This window comes from Homo sapiens, chromosome 18, assembly GCF_000001405.40.
Source record: "Homo sapiens chromosome 18, GRCh38.p14 Primary Assembly".
NCBI lineage: Eukaryota > Metazoa > Chordata > Mammalia > Primates > Hominidae > Homo > Homo sapiens.
Window position 1 is genome coordinate 60,108,566 of NC_000018.10, and position 18,576 is coordinate 60,127,141.

Consider the following 18,576-nt stretch of genomic DNA (forward strand, 5'->3'; position numbering starts at 1 on the left):
CTGTGGACATGTCCAAGGGCAGTCTGCAGGTTGCAGGTTAGACAGGCAAGTAAACAATTAGAGAAGCAGAGCTTATAATGGTTGGAAATAATAAAGAATTTGTTCCTTTCCTATTATGACACTAGCTTAGAAAGCTTTGGTTTATAAAAATGAAACTCAAGCACTTTTTGTTCTGATGTCGTAACTTCGTCTATCATCTATCTTTAGGCTCTCAAATACTTTATATATTAGTTCCTCTCTGTTTCTTTGCTACAGTTAAATTGGAATGTTTTCCTGCTCTACTCTAATTCATATTGGGAGCCATGTAGAACACTTACAAAAGGCTTTAAAAATAATGTGTTGGAGAAATGCAAAGTCTTAAATAGAAAGTTTTTTTTTGTTTGTTTTGTTTCTGGTGTTTCCACCATATTTTAGTGACAGATATTCCAGGACAAAGATGCATTATTTACCCTTTTAGGATTATTATGTTTACTTCATTAGAAGGAAGTTTATACATGGATAAATAAGTACACTAACCTCTTAACCATTCATGTTACTATTAGTTAACATCATGGTGATTTTTTACAAGTTACTGAGATATGGCAATGAACAAATGATTGAATGTTATTTTCAGAACTTATCCAGAAGGCGGCTATCATCCTAGGTATCTGTTTAACATGTAATGCTAGACATAAATATACATGTCATTGGGGCAAATAGCAATATGTGGAATATACAAACAGAATTGTTAAAGAAAGTTGGATATCATAAAGTAAATCTATTGAGTAGACACATGAGAATTTCAGAGACTTTGAGTATTAGAATAAACATTTCCTAAAGGAAAAATACAACAGATTTTCAGTTTGTCAAATGCTTGAGCTGTGAAAAAGCCAGGCCAGAATAATCATATTATCTCAGATCAGCACAGATCCAGTAGAGGGGCTAACTGCTTTCCACTATGGTGCTACAAAAGCGAGAGTCATTTAATTTTCTTCTCCATTTGTTCACTTTTATTTTTTTAAAAATAAATTTTATTGTGTATATATTTTTTGAAAATCAATTTTATTGTGTATATTGTGTATATTTGTATATATTTGTGTTGACAACATGATGTGATGGGGTACATTTCTTTAGTAAAATGGTTGCTATAGTGACGAGTTAACATATATATAATTTCACATAGTTACTTTTCTGTGTGTCACAAGAACAGCTAAAATCTACTTATTTAATAAAAGTTCCTAATACAACACGATTGTATTAACTTTAGTCCTCATGTCGTACATTAGAGCTCTAAACTTGTTCATCCTACATATGTTATTTTGTATTCTTTGACCTATACTTTACCATTTCTTCTCCCCCATTTTAATTTTTTAAAAGCTTAGTTTAAGCTCAAAATTTTTCCATGTATTTTGCTTGTTAGTAGCAGTTTTAGTAGCAAGCTATAATTTAAGATAAAATTAGTAATTTCTTGCATATGGGCATATGGGATTTTGGCATTTTTGCAAATATTTTTACATTATTTTCTTGTCACAACACCAGTGTGAAGTATGAAAAGCATCATTATTCTTTTTGTTTGTTTGTTTTTTTGAGATGGAGTTTTGCTCTTGTTGCCCAGGCTGGAGTGCAGTGGTGTGATTTTGGGTCACTGCAACCTCCACCTCCTGGGTTCAAGCGATTCTCCTGCGTCAGCCTCCCGAGTAGCTGGGATTACAGACATGCACCACCACGTCTGGCTAATTTTGTATTTTTAGTAGAGACGGGGTTTCTCCATGTTGGTCAGGCTGGTCTCAAACTCCGGACCTCAGGTGATCTGCCCGCCTCAGCCTCCCAAAGTTCTGGGATTACAGGCGTGAGCCACTGCGCCCGGCCAGCATCATTATTCTTGTCATAAAACGAAGGAAACAGAGAATGGATTGTTCTAAGTTGTTTGTAGGTAAGTACATGAATCTGGGCTCCTCTGTCTGATCTTGGCTTTTGATGACTTCCCCAGGTTGAGGAAGCCATCTGAGGACAATAAAGAGGGAAAGGTTAACAAAAACATCCAAAAACAATCCACAAAACTTGGCCTGATTAGAATTGGGTTCTAGGGAATAGACCAAAGCCCAGCCAACTGCAGAGTCAGTGCTGCTCAGCTGATGTCCAGGTCGTGCCCTTGAGTGAGCATCCTCATTCACAGGCAAAACAAGGTATCTGCTTCTGTTTCTGACTTGAGTACCATCAAAAGCCATTTTACCTGTAAAAACAAACGAACAAAACCCCACAAAAAAATCACTGTTTTCTATCCTAGCATATTTTTATTCTTCATGTTATTCATTCCTTTGATTTATCCCACTATGGGTTAATGCCAAAATAACACTTTAGGAGTAAGAGATGAGAAATATAAAATTGTCACCAGATTCAGCAACTTGGCATGAATTAACGTTCAACATCAGAACTGAACAAGTTTATCTCATTCTATAACCAGTCACTCTCTAGGACACCCATAGAATGGGACATAAGGCAGGATGTTTAGAAAAGAAAGGGGAAGAAAGGCCAAAGTTGGAAGCAAGGGCATTACAGAGCAGAACCAGCTGGGGAGTTTAGGAAAAAAAAAAAAAAGAAAATTATCTGAAATCTGAACTAAAACAAACATGAAGTTGCTTAGTTTTGTCCAGACTCTGATTCCATTTGTTGTTTTCTAAAAAGCTACCATTTTCTTCCATCATCTGGCAAAGTGAAAAGAAAATGGGAAGTTTATATCTGTAAAGTCTAGGTATTCATTGTATAATATCAAGGAGTATGTTTTGTGTTGTTGCCGTAATTATAGTAGTTAAATAACTGTTTAATTATATTCATATACAATTAAATGATAAGCAAATATTTAGGAGTACAAATAATTTTAATATTTTACCATTACATACTTATTGAAGCATTGGTTTTATTAAACTTTCAAAGTAATATGGCAAAAAGGTGGCCACATACCAAATAGTATCATACATTTCTTAGAATCTCTCCTAGCAAATAAACCTACAATTAAATTTAGAGTATGAGTCAGTTGAAAAGACAATTTAATTTTTTTGCCATAGAATTAAAATATTTCTGAGAAGTCAGAGTGCTTTGCAATGTTTGGTGAATAATTTACATAATTCCGGAATAATGTCTCACTTATGGAGAATACACCTACCACTTCCTTCGGTAAACAGAAATAGAGTCTATGGTTTCTAGAATCACTTTGTTTTATCCTTTTTCATTCCTTTGCAAATTGAGCAAACCTGAATAAACAGTAGGTTCTTTCATAGTGCTTCATTTACAGATTTATGTGATATATATTTTCATCACATTGTAAAAACTGGAGAATATCTCATCTGTATATAGAACATAATTATCTGAGAGAATCTAAAGATCACAGCCTAACCTTATTTTTACAGGGTAATACTTCCTCTGACATCTTAAAGTTTGCTTCTGTGTCTAGGAAACTCAATTAATATAACTCCTGGATTCTCTTCACTCATTCCAGGATCATTTATTTTATTAGCAAATTTGGGAAAGAATAATTAGAGTTGTATATCATGTATTTAATGTTATATTTGAGAATATTTAATTTTGCACCAAAAACAAAACCCAGAAAAGTAATGGGATGGATGAAACTGATAGTCTCCATTTGTTACAAATTGTGAAGTTGGAAGCTTGTATAACCTGTCTAAGACAAAATAAGTGAAAGATGTGGGTCGAACATAGATGAAGAATGGAACAAATGAGAGTGCCGCCTGTAGATAGAAATGGAAGAACCAAGTAAATATTAAATATTAGCAAAGCACAGAACATGTTACGTCTACAGTGACAACCAAATCATTCCTAAATCAACCATTTATTGGTGACACAAAGTCTGGCCCCAACTGTATGCTGATGCGGAAATTCAGAAATAAGGCCTGGCTGCTCGGTAGGTTGTAGATAGCTACAGCTGTGGCCAAGCATACTTGCGTCCTCATTTCTCCAATACCACAAGCACGTGTTGGCTCCAGGCACTATCTACCTGTTGGGACCTGTTGTTCAGTCTCAACCCTGGTCTTTGTAATCACAGCATCAGCAGGAAAGGCTGATGTGGAGAGAAATAGGACATATGAACGTTGCATAATCCTGGACTCAGTAGTGTGGTCCTTCCATATCCACCATATCTTATCCCATCTTGTTCCTCTGCTTGTTTCTATATGTTTTAAAATTGATTTAATACATTGCATGAGTTGAGCATCTTAACATGATACATAAGACTTGTTGTTCTGTAACTTTTTAGATAGTTTGTGTGGTATTGTACTTGGAGACTACCATTAGGCAAGGTAAAATTTCTCCTAATACAGGTAGCTCACTCAGTCACGCTTTTCTTACTTTGGGGATCTAGCTGCTCAGAGAGAACAGATGTTCCACAGCTGTCCCCAGGAACAAGCTCTTCTGCTGCAACAGGGAGGCCTGCCAGACTTGACCCCTGAATAGGGAAGTCTGTCTAGTCCTTGCTCGTTTCATTCTCACACCAGCTAGGCCCTCTGACTTAAGCTTTATAGATAATAAAGATAATATTTTGACCTCCCACCTGTCACTATTTAATTTTGTTTTTCAATTTATTCAGCACGTGGGTACAAAAAAGCAATAACATTTGTTGGACCCATTTAGGCTTTCCAAGCTTTCCTCACCTTAGAATTGGGGTCACTGAGGCCAAAGTAGGCCAAGGAACATTTAGACTGTCCTTGTTACCAGGGCGGGTATAGTAGCATTCTTGTTTCTTTAAGATCAAACATGGAGGTATGGGCTCCTGCTGGGACTCTCTGTTGCTCTGTTGTGTTTCAGGTGGGCTGCATCAAATTGGGGCCTTAGTGGTCGCTCTTGTCCTGTATCCTCTGGATGTGGAAGGCTCATGCCCAACACATCTAAAGGACCTAACCCATGGGCCCCAGGTTATCCTGTCCTGGGCTTAATTATCTTCTCCAGTCTGCTCATGTGTCCTATGGCCAATTATGGCTGTATTTCCATCCAGACTTATGGAAGCTTATTTTTTTCTACCTCCTACATTATGTGAACACTGGCTCTGAGTTAATCCTGAGATTAACTGAGGCTGAGTCAAACCAGTGCCTTGTTTCTTCAGGAGCCAGCAGTATAATCCTTTGACATTTTCCTGTAGTTATGTAATCCCTTGACATCTCTCTTGTAGGTCAGTTTTATGCTAAGATGATAACACTTCACTTGTTTTCAAGTACATGGTCTCTCCTAGACTGCTTTCAAAATCTTAGTTTCCTGACTTTAAGATGCTATCCTCTCTGCTCTTTCTTCATTCCATTTCCTTCCACTCAAGGAAGTGGTAGAATTTTACTCCTGAGTTTTCTAGGAAAAAGCAGCTTTCCAAATAAAATGCTTAAAACAGTTTATTTACTAGTAACAAGGAAATTAGTACCTTCTCTTACCTTTAATTTCAGATCTATCAGTTACTCACCTCCAACATTACCCAATTTCTTTGTCCTTAAAGTGTTCATTTTACTTCAAAACCTGTTGCTATCAGTGAGAATAATGACTGCATTTTGCTTATTTATGGCTTCTAGGGCCTAGCACAATTCCTGGCTTAGTAAGGAGGAAATATATCATAGTGATTAAGAGCTGTTAGAGAAAATATATACCTATATATTTGTCACTCAATTTCTATTTTTCTTTTTCTAAAACAGCATCCCAATGTTTCTCTATGGGAAATACTATTGTCCCTGTTAAATATCATCTATTAGGGCTGTTATTCCTGGTGCCCAAGGTATGGTGTGTGCTAGGTCAGCTGTACACTCTCTCCCTGAATTTCAGAGATTTTAAAACCCCTGAAATTTGTTGGAGGTGATTGGTCACAGAGACAACACCCTATAGAGACAGTATACTAGTTCTTTTTCAACTTCATTGAGGTAAAATTTACATAATATGCAACTAACTATTGTAAAGTGAATAATTCAGTAGTATTTAGTGCATTCACAATGTTGTGTAACCACCACCTATCTCTAGTTTCAAAACTTTTTCATCACCCCAGAAGGTGACACTGCCTATTGGGCAATCACTTCTGATTATTTATTTCAGCAGTTCTTCACCTGTTGTTATTTCTGGTTCTTCTGTGTTCCCTCCACTGCTGTGAACTGCTCCAAATCCTTATGACAATTCCTCTTCTACTTAAGCTATTCAAAATCACCTTCTCTTGCTTGCAACAAAATAATTCTAACGAACATGAGATTATAGGTTTTGGAATCAGACAAGTTTCTTCAATGTAAATTGTAATTTTCAGGATTAAATGAGGTAATTTATGTAAGGCAGGTGGAATAGCCATAACGTAGAGTATATACTAAATAAATGATAGGTATAGGTATTAATATTATTATTATTAGGTACTAGATGGCCATTTAATAAATAAATTATGACTCAATAAAGTGATCTTCCCTATGGTGCAGTTACAGTAACTGAATTTGATCAAATCTAGATTGGGTAGGTAACAGGACTAGGCAGACCAGATATAAAAGTACTTGTGCTTGGCAAGGAAGATGAAGAAAGTGATAAAGAAATAAATACTACAGTATTTTTAAAGTTTCAGGTCTTACATTTAAGTCCTTAATCCATCTTGAGTTATTCTTATGTATAGTGAGAGATAGGGGTCCTGTTATTTTCTTTTGCATGTGCCAATTCAATTTTCCCAGCTGTTTATTGAATAGGTATCCTTTCGTTGTGTATATTTTTGTTGACTTTGTCTAAGATCAGTAAGCTGTAGGTATGTGGTTTATTTCTGGGTTCTCTATTCTGTTCCAGTGATCGATGTGTTCTTTTTTTTTTTTTTTTTTTTTTTTTGACGGAGTTTCGCTCTTGTTGCCCAGGTTGGAGTGCAATGGTGCGATCTCGGCTCACTGCAACCTCCACCTCCTGGGTTCAAGCGATTTTCCTACCTCAACCTCCTGAGTAGTTGGGATTACAGGCATGTGCCACCACACCCAGTTAATTTTTTGTAGAGATGGGGGTTTCACCACGCTGGCCAGGCTGGTCTCGAATTCCTGACCTCAGGTGATCCACTTGCCTTGGCCTCCTAAAGTGCTGGGATTACAGGGGTGAGCCACCGCATCCGGCATGTTTCATTTTCATACCAGTAACGTGCTGTTTGGGTTACTATTGCCTTGTCATATAGTTTGAAGCCAGGTAATGTGATCCCTCCAGGTTTGCCAGCTTTGTTCTTTTTGCTTGCGATTGCTTTGGTGACACAGGGTCTGTTTTGGTTCCATATGAATTCTATTTCTGTGAAAAATGACATTGGTATTTTGATAAGAATTGCATTGTGTCTGTAGAGTACTTTGGGCAGTATGGTCATTTTAACAATATTGATTCTTCCAATCCATGAGCATAGGATGTTATCCCATTTGTTTGTGTCATCTGCAGTTACTTTCTTCAGCAATTTGCAGTTTTCCTTGTAGAGATCTTTCACATCCTTGGCTAAATATATTACAAGATTTTTTTTTTTTTGTAGCTATCGTAGATGGAATTAACTTCTTGATTCAGTTCTCAGCTTGATTGTTATTGGTGTATAAAACTGCTACTTAGGAAAAGCTCTTCTGGACATTGGCCTTGGCAAAGAATTCATGACTAAGACCTTAAAAGCAAATGCAGCAAAACTGGACAAGTAGGACGTAATTAAACTATAAAGCTTTAGCACAGCAAAATAAATTGTCAATAGAGTTAACAGACATCTTGAAGAATGGGAGAAAATATTTGCAAACTGTGCATCTAGTAAAGGACTAATATCCAGACTCTAGAAGGAACTCAAACATTTCAACAACAAACAACAAAAAACAAACAAATAACCCCATTGAAAAGTGGGTAAAGGACGTGAATAGACATTTTTCAAAGGAAGACATACAAAATGACTAAGAAGCGTATGAAAAATGGTCTATATGACCAATAATCAGAGAAATTAAATTTAAAACTACAATGAGATACGATCTCATACCAGTCAGAATGGCTATTATTAAAAAGACAAAAAAGAGATGTTGGTGAGGATGCAGAGAAAAGGGAAGGCTTATACACCGGGAATGGTTGGTGGGAATGGAAAGTAGCACAACCTCAATGGAAAACCATATGGAGACTTCTCAACTAAAAATACAACTACTACTCAATCCAGTAATCTCATTACTGGAGATCTACCCAGAGAAAAAGAAATTATTATACCAAAAAGATACCTGTACTCATATGTTTATCACAGCATAATTCACAATAGCAAAGATATGGAATTATCCTAAGTGTCCATTAATGGATGACTAGATAAAGAAAATGTCCTATGTGCATATATATATATATATATGAAAGTTGGAGATATATATATATATGAAAGTTGGAGATATATATATATATTCCACACTATGGAATACTATTTGGCCATAAAAAAGAATGAAGTCATGTCTTTTGCGGCAACCTGGGTGGAACTAGAGGTCATTATTTAAGTGAAATAACTCAGAAACAGAAAAAGTCAAATTCTGCATGCTCTCATGTATAAGTGGGAGCTAAATAATGTAACACGTGGACATAGAGTGTGGAATAATAGACACTGGAGGCTGGGAGGGGTGGGACAGTGAGAAGGGGGTGAGGGATGAGAAATTACTTAATGGGTACAATGTTGACTATTTGGATGATGGCTTCACCACTATGCAATATGTCCACGTGAAAAAGCTACACTTGCTCCCCCTAAATTTACAATAAAAAAGAAAGAAAGAAAGAAAAAAGATATAAATACTCCAAAAAGTGTTGGGGAGTGTTGAGCATTTGTTTCTCCACTCCTGATGTTTATTTCCAAGTGAAGGGATATCAAATCCCTCCTGACGTCTCTCTGCCTGGTCTTTATTTAGCTGATAAGTTTAACAGCAGAAAGTGAGCATGCCATCGTCTACCTCTTCCTCTTCCTTTATCTTGGAAATGAGTTGCCTGTAGGAAGCAAAGGTCCTGCCCTGATGGTGGTGCGATTTGGGAATGTGGGAAGAACTGCCGTGGTCCAGAGGTGCTATGCTGAACGGGTGGTCTCCTTGTTGTACTACTGGATTCCTTCGGGTTCCTTATGACTGTATTACTTGTTTCATTCTTCTTATCTGGGGGATGTTTTAATCAGTAACTAGAGAAGAAAGATACTACTAAGACAAGGAGGAGATTGCAAGGTTGAGAGATAAGAAGAATAAGATTGGAGAGGACAAGGATGCTACTTTTCACCCAGTCACTGGGTCCTTGGGTGTTTATTTGCTGGAGTATTGATGTGAAAGCCATGTGCAGGTGAACCATGGAAAAACATACCTTTGTATAATTTAGGAAAGATAATTGAAGCAACTATATTTACCTGCATTTCTTGGAAGTACCAGAATTAATTTATGAAGCTATTACTACAGACTGAAGCTTAACTTTCTTGATAGTTTGATTTAGAGGCAATGGTTTAGTGCTTCTGCATGGCAAATTAAATAAAGTCAGCCTAGCTCTGATCCATTATTTCTCAAGCTACATTATTTTCTTACCAGAGAAAATCATTTATTAAACTAATGGGAAATAATTGTCCAAGTATATTAGAAGAGACATAATTTCTCCCAGAGCTAATACTTTGTTTAGGATTCAGTTTCAGTTGGTAAGCCTAACTTGAAGCACTAAGTAGGGGATAGGTCAAAAGAGGAAGCTATTCACTTAGAAAAAGTGGGTTTTGCAGAATAGAATCAATATGATGGTGATAATAGCATAGATAAACATAGTAATATATAACATCTTCACATCAGCTTTCTTGGAAAAGAATTATTTGGCTTCGGTAATACTTTAAGTAAGACTAATCACTCTTGTAGAGAAGGAAGTCTTTTTAACTCAACCAGTATGTAAGGAAAGTAAGCAAGAGCTGGAGAAAGACAATCATAAGTTGACATAGTACCTAGCATATCAATACACTCTCATATTGGAATCAATATACACATAGAATATATTAAATAAAAATTGAGCAAGGTATTGAATATACCTAGAATAAAGCCATAAGCATGGCTTTATTTCTCTGCATCTAATCCATAAGTTACTCTTTCCACTGTTTCCACACAGATACAAATTATGTCATTTGTTGTACAAAATGAAAAATTGTTCTTTATGGCTCTTACAAGAACGGTGCTAGTTTTAAAGAGCCGATAAATGTTGGTGACAAAAAAGAAATGCATGATGTAATTCAAGGTGAGTGAAAGACTAGAGACTTCACAGACTAAATTCTGGGCACACAGAGGGGGAATCAGACCTCACGTTGATTTCCTGGTGTTTTCTTGTCAACAGAAAGCCCAGAATCAGACAAGGCTTCCCAGTCCCAGGAGGCTCCTTGCTGCTGCTCATACATGCCCTGTGCTTGTCTGTGCAGCACTTGTAGTTTATGCTGTTCAATAGACTGAGAAGAGTTCTGGGCATTCAGTTTATTTAAATATTGGCCAGCATTTAAGACAAAGATAAAAGAATACCTCTTCCACGGAATCTTCCCTGAGCACCCCAGCAAGAAGGAATTGTTTCATCCTTTGATTGATTAGTTGTTTACACCGTTAGATTATTTACTGAATTTCATGTTATATTAAAGATATATGATTGTCCATATTGGGTCTTCAGCCTGAGTTTTCCGGAGTGACAGCCATAGTTTACTTGTCTTTGTATACACTAAAAATTCTTAGTGGTGTAATGTAAGTGTCATAGTCATTCAATAGGTGTTTCTCGAATGAGATTCTAGTATGAGTGAACAGTGTCAATTATAAGAGAGCAAGAATTTGTTTTTGTGAATAAAAGAAAAAGTATTACTCAGTGTTGGCAAAGATATGGAGGACCAGATGCTCTCCTAGAATGTTGGTGATATCTAAATCATTGCATCCTTTTTGGAAGGCAATTTTGCATTAGTCATTCAAATTTGTAGCACATAAACATTTTGATCCAGTAACATAACTTTGTATGAATAAGAAGAGTAAGACTTATTAGAGTATGTATACACATGAAAATGTTTCTTCCTATAATGTTTATAATAAAAAACACAAACTACCTAACAAACAAAAAATAAATCAATATCTATGTGGGGACATGAATAAGACTTTAACTTTCTATGTATATATCTGCACCATTTGATTTTTAATAATGAACACATAAAAATATATGAAAATAGAGAAAAAAAACTCAGTTGTTTTGTTCTCACCAAAGGAGCTGCTATTCTTTGGGAAGAATCATTCTGAAATAGAGATGCATCTGCCTTCCATCTTATTCTCCCATTTTATTTTCACATGGAAGGCAAGAATAATCTCAGTATATTGTTTGTAGCATTTCTTTTTCTAAGTACTCTACATATCCACCCAGTGTTTTTCAAGAGTTACCCCCAAGTTAAAGCTGTCAATAGCCCTTTATTTCCCACAGGATAAAATCTGAACATATAGACTTTATGCACAAAGTCCCTCATGATTTATTCTATTCATCTTTCCTCTCTGCCTCTATTTTTTCGCTGGAGCTTCTCTCGTACATTTAAGGTTGGTGAAAAAGTCATTGCAGTTTTTGCCATTACTTTTAATAGAATGAGTCATTGCACCAACTGTTGTCTGAAACTCTCCTTCTATTTCAGGCTTTCATGATTTTGACATTTGTTCCTTTCTTTTAGAATGCGTGCCTACCTGGTAGTTTCTTCCTTTTCTTCTGTGAAGCCTCTTCTCATGTGTCACCTTCCCTGTGATGGTCTCTCTGACTATTCAGGTGTCAGGAAATCCTCCATTCCTGTTGCTCTCACACCCCTATCTCCCATCTCCCTCTAATGCTATTGTTGCTCTCACACCCCATCCCCCATCTCCCTCTAATGCTATCACATGTTTATAGGTGTGTCTTATCCACTTGATGAATAACCACTGGGGACAAAGGCTTATTCATCTTTATATTCCCAGCTGGCGATGTTTGCATGAACTTTGTAGTTGATAACATGCTATCAGTGGAAATTATGTTTTGCTTTGAAATGATTATAAAATAGTGATCATGGGCTATTGTCTCATTAAATAACTTTTGCTTTACCATGATTTTAACCATTGTGGTGCAAAGGCAAAGACACGGTTCTCTCCCTTAGTTAGGAAGCTGATTCATCATATTTAGATATACGTCATGCCCTTTACTTTGAAGCACGTTCTTTCCTTACCCAGCGATTTTGAAATACAACATAAATCCTGTTTTAGCTCTTTTTCATGAGGACTTTTTCAGGCCATTCTCTAGACCATCACATCGTTTCTTTCATGCTCTCCTGGACACATCACCACTTGTTTTGCTCCAGGCAGTTCTTTACCAGCTCCCACCCCTTGGCTAGCCCCATGGCATACAGGACTAGATTAAAACCTTTAGAAAAGCTGAAAGAATCATTGTGTCCCTATATGTAATATCAATTAAAAAATTACTAAGTAGGGAAGGGAGTGGTGGCTCAAGCCTGTAATCCCAACACTTTGGGAGGCCGAGGCGGGCAGATCATGAGGTCAGGAGTTCGAGTCCAGCATGGCCAACACGGTGAAACCCTGTCTCTACTAAAAAATACAAAAATTAGCTGGGCATCATGGCGCATGCCTGTAGTCCCAGCTACTCGGGAGGCTGAGGCAGGAGAATCACTTGAACCCAGGAGGTGGAGGTTGTGGTGAGCTGAGATCATGCCATTGTACTCCAGCCTGAGCGACAGAGCAAGACTCTGTCTCAAAAAAAAAAAAAAATTACTAAGTAGTAAAGCTCAAACTTACATATATGCCAAAATGAAAACAACTTCTTCAAAATTCTCTGATCACAAAAATTAACGGAAGAGCAACTTATTTTTCTCCTATGGCTTTGCTTTCAAAAGTCCTAACACATATCCTAGTCTCCACAGTGATAGTCTCGTATCATTGGTAGAGTATCCTGTTGCAACAGAGGGTTTTGTGGAATTTCCTTTAATATTAGACATTTAAACATTTTCATAATTCTAGAAGAGGAGAGGGTCTATTAATATTCAATGGTTGCCATAGGTTTATATAATTTTGGTTTTGAAAGAGACCTTAATGATCATCATTTCAGCCCATGGATTACACAGCTTCACTGAGGCAAAGAACTTTTTTTAAAAATTAAAAAATTAATTGACACATAATTGTACATATTTGTGGGGTTTATAGTGATATTTCAACACATATAATGTGTAGTTATCAAATCAAACTAATTAGTATATCCATCACCTCACACATTTATCATTTCTTTGTGTTGGGAACTTTCAAAATTGAGGTGAAATATTATACTTTAAACAAGCAATACAGAGTGTGGACCAGATGGAGCTGGAATTTAAATATTGGGTTAGTTTTGTTTCTATCACCCCACACTGTCTATGTTGTTTATTTCTGTTTTCTGGAGTGTAGGATTGCCAGATTTAGAAAATAAAAATGCATGCAACATTTGGGACCTACCCATGCTAAGAAATTATTTGTTGTTTTTCTGAAATTCAGATTTTACTGGGTGTCCTATATTTTAACAGGCAGACTTATCTGGGAGTAGAGAGAAAAAAATTCTAATATTTAATGAGCACTGAGCTAGTTGCTTTTACTAATATTTCCCTGAGTTCTAACCATACCTCTGCAATTTTTAAGATTATTTTTATATTTTAATATAAATATCGATGTGTTTTTGTGTTTTTATAAAAGTGGACAAAGAAATTAAGCTTGGAGAGGTCACACTCTCTGTACCAAGAATAGAGCAGAGAAATTAAACTCTGGAGCCAGGAATAGATGAGTTCAAATGTGATTTTCTTTTTGATACTTTGGAATTCTCTTGGGTTTCTTTTGTTGCAATATTTGTTTCATTTCCTCATCTTGAGGAGAAAAAAAATCCCCTCCTTTTTTGTGTGCCAAGTATCTTAAAGAAAATCTAGGTTTTAAGCAGGAACTACAGGAGGAAGGCAAAGCCCCTATAGTAAAACAGGGTAGAGTTTGCAAAGAAGTAGAGTGAGATGAGGAGGGTGGTCAGGCAGGAGGTGACTTAGAGGTTTCCTGGGCAGACTGTGAGGATGCTGAGTCAAATCTAGTAGTCCCTTCCTTTCTTATCTTCTCCTTTCAATGTCTAGTCTTTCCTGATTTTAGTAGATGTTCCTCAATTTCCACCAGCCTGAGCAAATACAAGTCAAGTCATACTGGTCAGAATGGTAAAAAGAAATTGTTGTCACATCTTTCCTTCAAGGTATGGGGAAAGACATTTTTTGGAGTTTAAATAGACTCTTCTCATCTTTCTTCAGGGAAGATGATCTATTTTTGTCTGCTTTTTAGGTGGTGAAGCTTCCTTCCTTTCACTCCATGCCCCATACTTACTTCTTGGAATTGCCGACTGCTCATTCAATCCTCAAGAACCTTTTCATCTCACCTCTTTCTTGTGTTACTGTGTGTGTGTGTGTGTGTGTGTGTGTGTGTGTGGTATGGTTACTTGATTCTGCCCTTGGTAGTTACTGAGACGAGGCTTATTAACCTCCAGATGTCTCCAGGTATTTTTCTCTCTTTTTCTCATCACATGAATTATATCAAAGAAGGAAGGACTCCCCATCAAAGAAACAATATCCTTCTAACCAAACAATCGCAGCCCTACAGAATAGATTTCCAGCTCCCACCATGATGCTACAGATTTTGGGATGCTTCCAGGATATATTTGAATCTGCCCATTGTGGTTTGTTTTTCAGAGTCAGGGCCTTCTCTAAAAGTCATTGTTTGGAACTTGGGCTGCAGCTCTTAACTCTCCCTGTCCCCAAGCCTGTGGAAGACAGTACTTTCTGGTTTTGCTCCATTTTAAACTCAAGATTAAACTCTTAAGCACTTATCTTTGCAGAAGGACCTCCACCTCTGCCTTTTGAAATACTTACTCTCCTAGTTCTTACAGGGAAAATTTAAATCCCCAAGCTTTCAGTCTCTAGGCTTCTTGAGGATCATCTTGTAGGGGGCACAAATTATTAGTTTTCCACTTTTTCTCCTTCAGGGATGCCATATTCTAATTGCCGAGGCCTTGAAGTCATTACCTACAGACCCTGCAGCCTGGAAGTACAGACCTTGAAAGACAAGAGTTCTTACTCAGAAACTATTAAAGCTTAAAGTATGAGAATAGAGTGTTATGCAAATGATTTCAAGTGTGCATCTAATCAATTTTTTCTTCCACAAAGCACTTTTCAATTCTCTTGTACAAATTGAATTTTTCAGCTAAATAATCATTCCACAGACAGGCAGTTATGGTTATTTTCTTCTTTTCTAATAAAGTTTTCCAACTCAGAAAGTATTGTACATACTGCCTGAAGGTATGTATTTCTTTCATTTTTACATTTAGAATAGGAGAACAATCACCCCCCTATTTTTTTTTTCTTCAATTGATGCAACTCAGTAATTTGTATTGCAACTGGAAGACAATACATCACAGAAACTTTATGGTAGGTCTGGGGAAAAGTGTTATTTACAATAAATGATGAAATAGTTTGTCTTTGGCAATATGATTACATACTAAGAATGCAAAATGCAGCTATGGATGCCTTCCAAGCAACACCATCAAGTCCCTAGAGTTCGGCTGATCGCGCCTGCCTCCACATTGTTTCTTTAGGTTCACACGAACATAACAGAACATCACGTTCTTTCTCCTTTATGGTTCTCCCTTTCTATTCATGACATTGGCAGTTTCATACAGAAAATACAGAAAAAAAATTGGCTTTTGAAAAATTGTTACTCTCTTAAATTAATTTGGCCGTGTAGGTCTATTGGCCAGCCAAGGTCAGATGACCCTAAGCATCAATAGTAAACCTCTTGGTCTTCTGATTGCTTTATCACTTTTTTTTTCTGTAAAACAAAACAAAACTCAGAAATGTTACAGAATCAGAGTATTAAAAAATGTACAAGTGTATATGCTTCCCAGACACAGAAGGATATATTTTTCCTCCACATTTTCACCATGGCAGTATTAAGTAGTGAATGACACAGCATGAAACTGGTTACTGAATCAGCTATGAGCTCAGATGGCCTCAATATACATACTCAAGAAATGTTGCATGTTTAAATAACTGAGAGTGTGCTAAATCTCATCTAAAAAAAGTAGGAGAGGGGCTGGGGAACTCAGGCCACAGTCATGAAAGGATGAATACAATTTCTAGGTTGAATAGATTCACCATATTAAAGTCTTTGAGAATCCAATATGGAATATATCAATTATTTTGCAAAAGGTAGAGAAAGCAGTTCTCAACTTTTGCAAATGAAATACAGTGGAAAAACACTGTTGTATATATTCCAAAGAAATAGTCTTGATTTCAATTCTAACAAAACAACAGGAAAGGTACTCGTGAGCATCTCACGGTTAAGTCAGAAATGATCGTTCACACAGGTCTGATTTCAGAAGTACAACAGCAAGATGCCGCACCATAGACACATCGGTTTAGGCTGTTAAAAGATGGATCATTTTAAAAACTGTGTTTTCCTTCCTTAATTTTTGGTCATTGAAGCTAGCACTTGTTTGCTGAACTGTGGAAGAACTGCAAGGTCACGCACATTATTCATGATAAAGCAACTGAGCTGACAAGTCTGTGCTTAATTCAAGAATAACCAGTAGGAGAGAGAGAAAACACAAGGAGTTAACCACCATCGCCGGTGCTCTCTCAAAGGAAGAGGGGTTAACAGATGAATTCGCAAAGGTAGGCAGATCTATACAGAACACTGAATGCCATGTGTAAATCCTCATGAAACTCCAGAAACAGGAACACCACACAATGTATATACTTTGATTTACACATTCCGTTACAAAAGAAAAAAAGACACCATTACAACTTTGTAACTGCAATCACCCCCCTATTTAATACCTGTTGGGTATAATCAGCACTATATTTGGTCTGGGGAGTTTGGAAAACGGAAAGGCTATTTCAGCTTTCTTAAATGATTTAGGAGTGATGCAGAGTATAAAATCTCAAATTAAAAGTGAAGCTGAGTCATTCCTGGGTCTGGAGATGCCTACTATCAGATTGAAGAAATCAAGAGTACTGCAGACCACTGGGACCTGCCTAGGTGGAACTCAGCATGACTCTGGTGCAGCTGGAAAGAAACATTTGGGAACATTCAGATTCATAGTTTTTGGGTGTAACTTGGAGGATATTTGAAAGTACTTCAACGGAATTGAACACTCAGGAGGTAGGGGACAGATGTTTACAGGCCAATGTTAGATGGAGGGGAAGTAAAAACCAGGGTTAGACTCTCTGGCCAGAACTTGAAATATTTTCCTGGTTATTGGCTTGTCCAGTACTTTCTGTTCAAATGTTCAAGGGTCAAACTTGATGTGTCCTCATGTCTTTTCCTGACTTTGGACTTATGTGGATGCAGGAGCCTTGTCCTTATTTCTTCTCTTCTGTCCCAGTGGTTGAAATCAGGCTTTGTAATTTTAAAAATTGGTTATATCAAAGAGATGGGCCAGCAACTTTTGGTCAAGTAAGTACTCCATTTGACTTTCAAACAACTTCTTTGAAACAGATTATCTCAGATCTCTCTTTTAGTGTAGTAAGTATTTTATGAACCAGGATTAATTCGATCAGGGTCAGTTAAAGTTTCATCACTTCTTTGAGGTTGCTTAATATTTGACTTTGTGTGATCCTACAACATTATTTTTGCTTGAAAAAGGCTTATCTGAGTACTTGAAGCACAGAAGAAAATGAATAGTTTCTTAACATGGGCATACACATAAATTATATAGCATAATTACAAAGAAACTTACATACCCAGGTGAGGGTGAACTTTGGTGGAGTAATTGCATATCTGCGATGCTAAAAGCAATATTTAATCAATATTTAATGAGTAGCTTATTTCTTAATTTCTTTTTCTTAAAGTGTCTTTTTGGAGACAGAGTCTTGCTCTGTTGCCCATGCTGGAGTGCAGTGGTGCAATCTTGGATCACTGCAACCTCCACTTCCCAGGTTCAAACAATTCTCCTGCCTCAGCCTCCCAAGTAGCTGAATTACAGGTGTGTGCCACCATGCCCAGCTTTTTTTTTTTTTTTAATTTTAGTAGAGACAGGGTTTCACCACATTGGCCAGGTGGGTCTTGAACTCCTGAACTCAAGTGATCCGCCCGCCTTGGCCTCCCAAAGTGCTGGGATGAGGCATGAGACACCCTGCCAGGCTTTATTTCTTAAATTCGTAAGGATGATGATTAACATTTTAGGCAGAACAAGTCTTAATTTTGAGAATATCACAGTTAGAAGCTCTTATTCCTAGGCACTAACATCTAAGCTTAATCAAAACCACTTGTATATTTTTTTCCAAATGCTCCCTAAGGGGTAGATAAAGTCCCAGTGTGAGAGTGCAGGATTCTGCCTACAGGGTTATGATTGAGCTGGAATGCCAATTTAAATATTCCCACTACAAAGCCCGTTTTCTTTTTATTATATGGTAATATGATTCTTCTTCCTAGAAGTCTGATAACCAGGTGGCAGATGGAACCAAACTGTCTGAAAATGACAAATGAATGAATAGATGAATGAATAAACACAGATAGCCATGAAGTTCAGGTATCAATTTAAAGCTACAAAATTGAAAGGTAGAAAGGGTATTTGTCTATATTCTTTTTA

General features: G+C 36.9%; 1 long non-coding RNA gene across 1 annotated transcript in view; it reads left to right on the forward strand.

The window, feature by feature from the left end:
• Nucleotides 1–16,467: 16,467 nt before the first annotated feature.
• LINC03111 (long intergenic non-protein coding RNA 3111) overlaps nucleotides 16,468–18,576 on the forward strand; it is a 36,163-nt gene continuing 34,054 nt past the window's right edge. The window contains exon 1 of the long non-coding RNA NR_186639.1: nucleotides 16,468–16,657. This is a non-coding gene — a long non-coding RNA (long intergenic non-protein coding RNA 3111). The remainder of the gene's footprint in view (nucleotides 16,658–18,576) is intronic.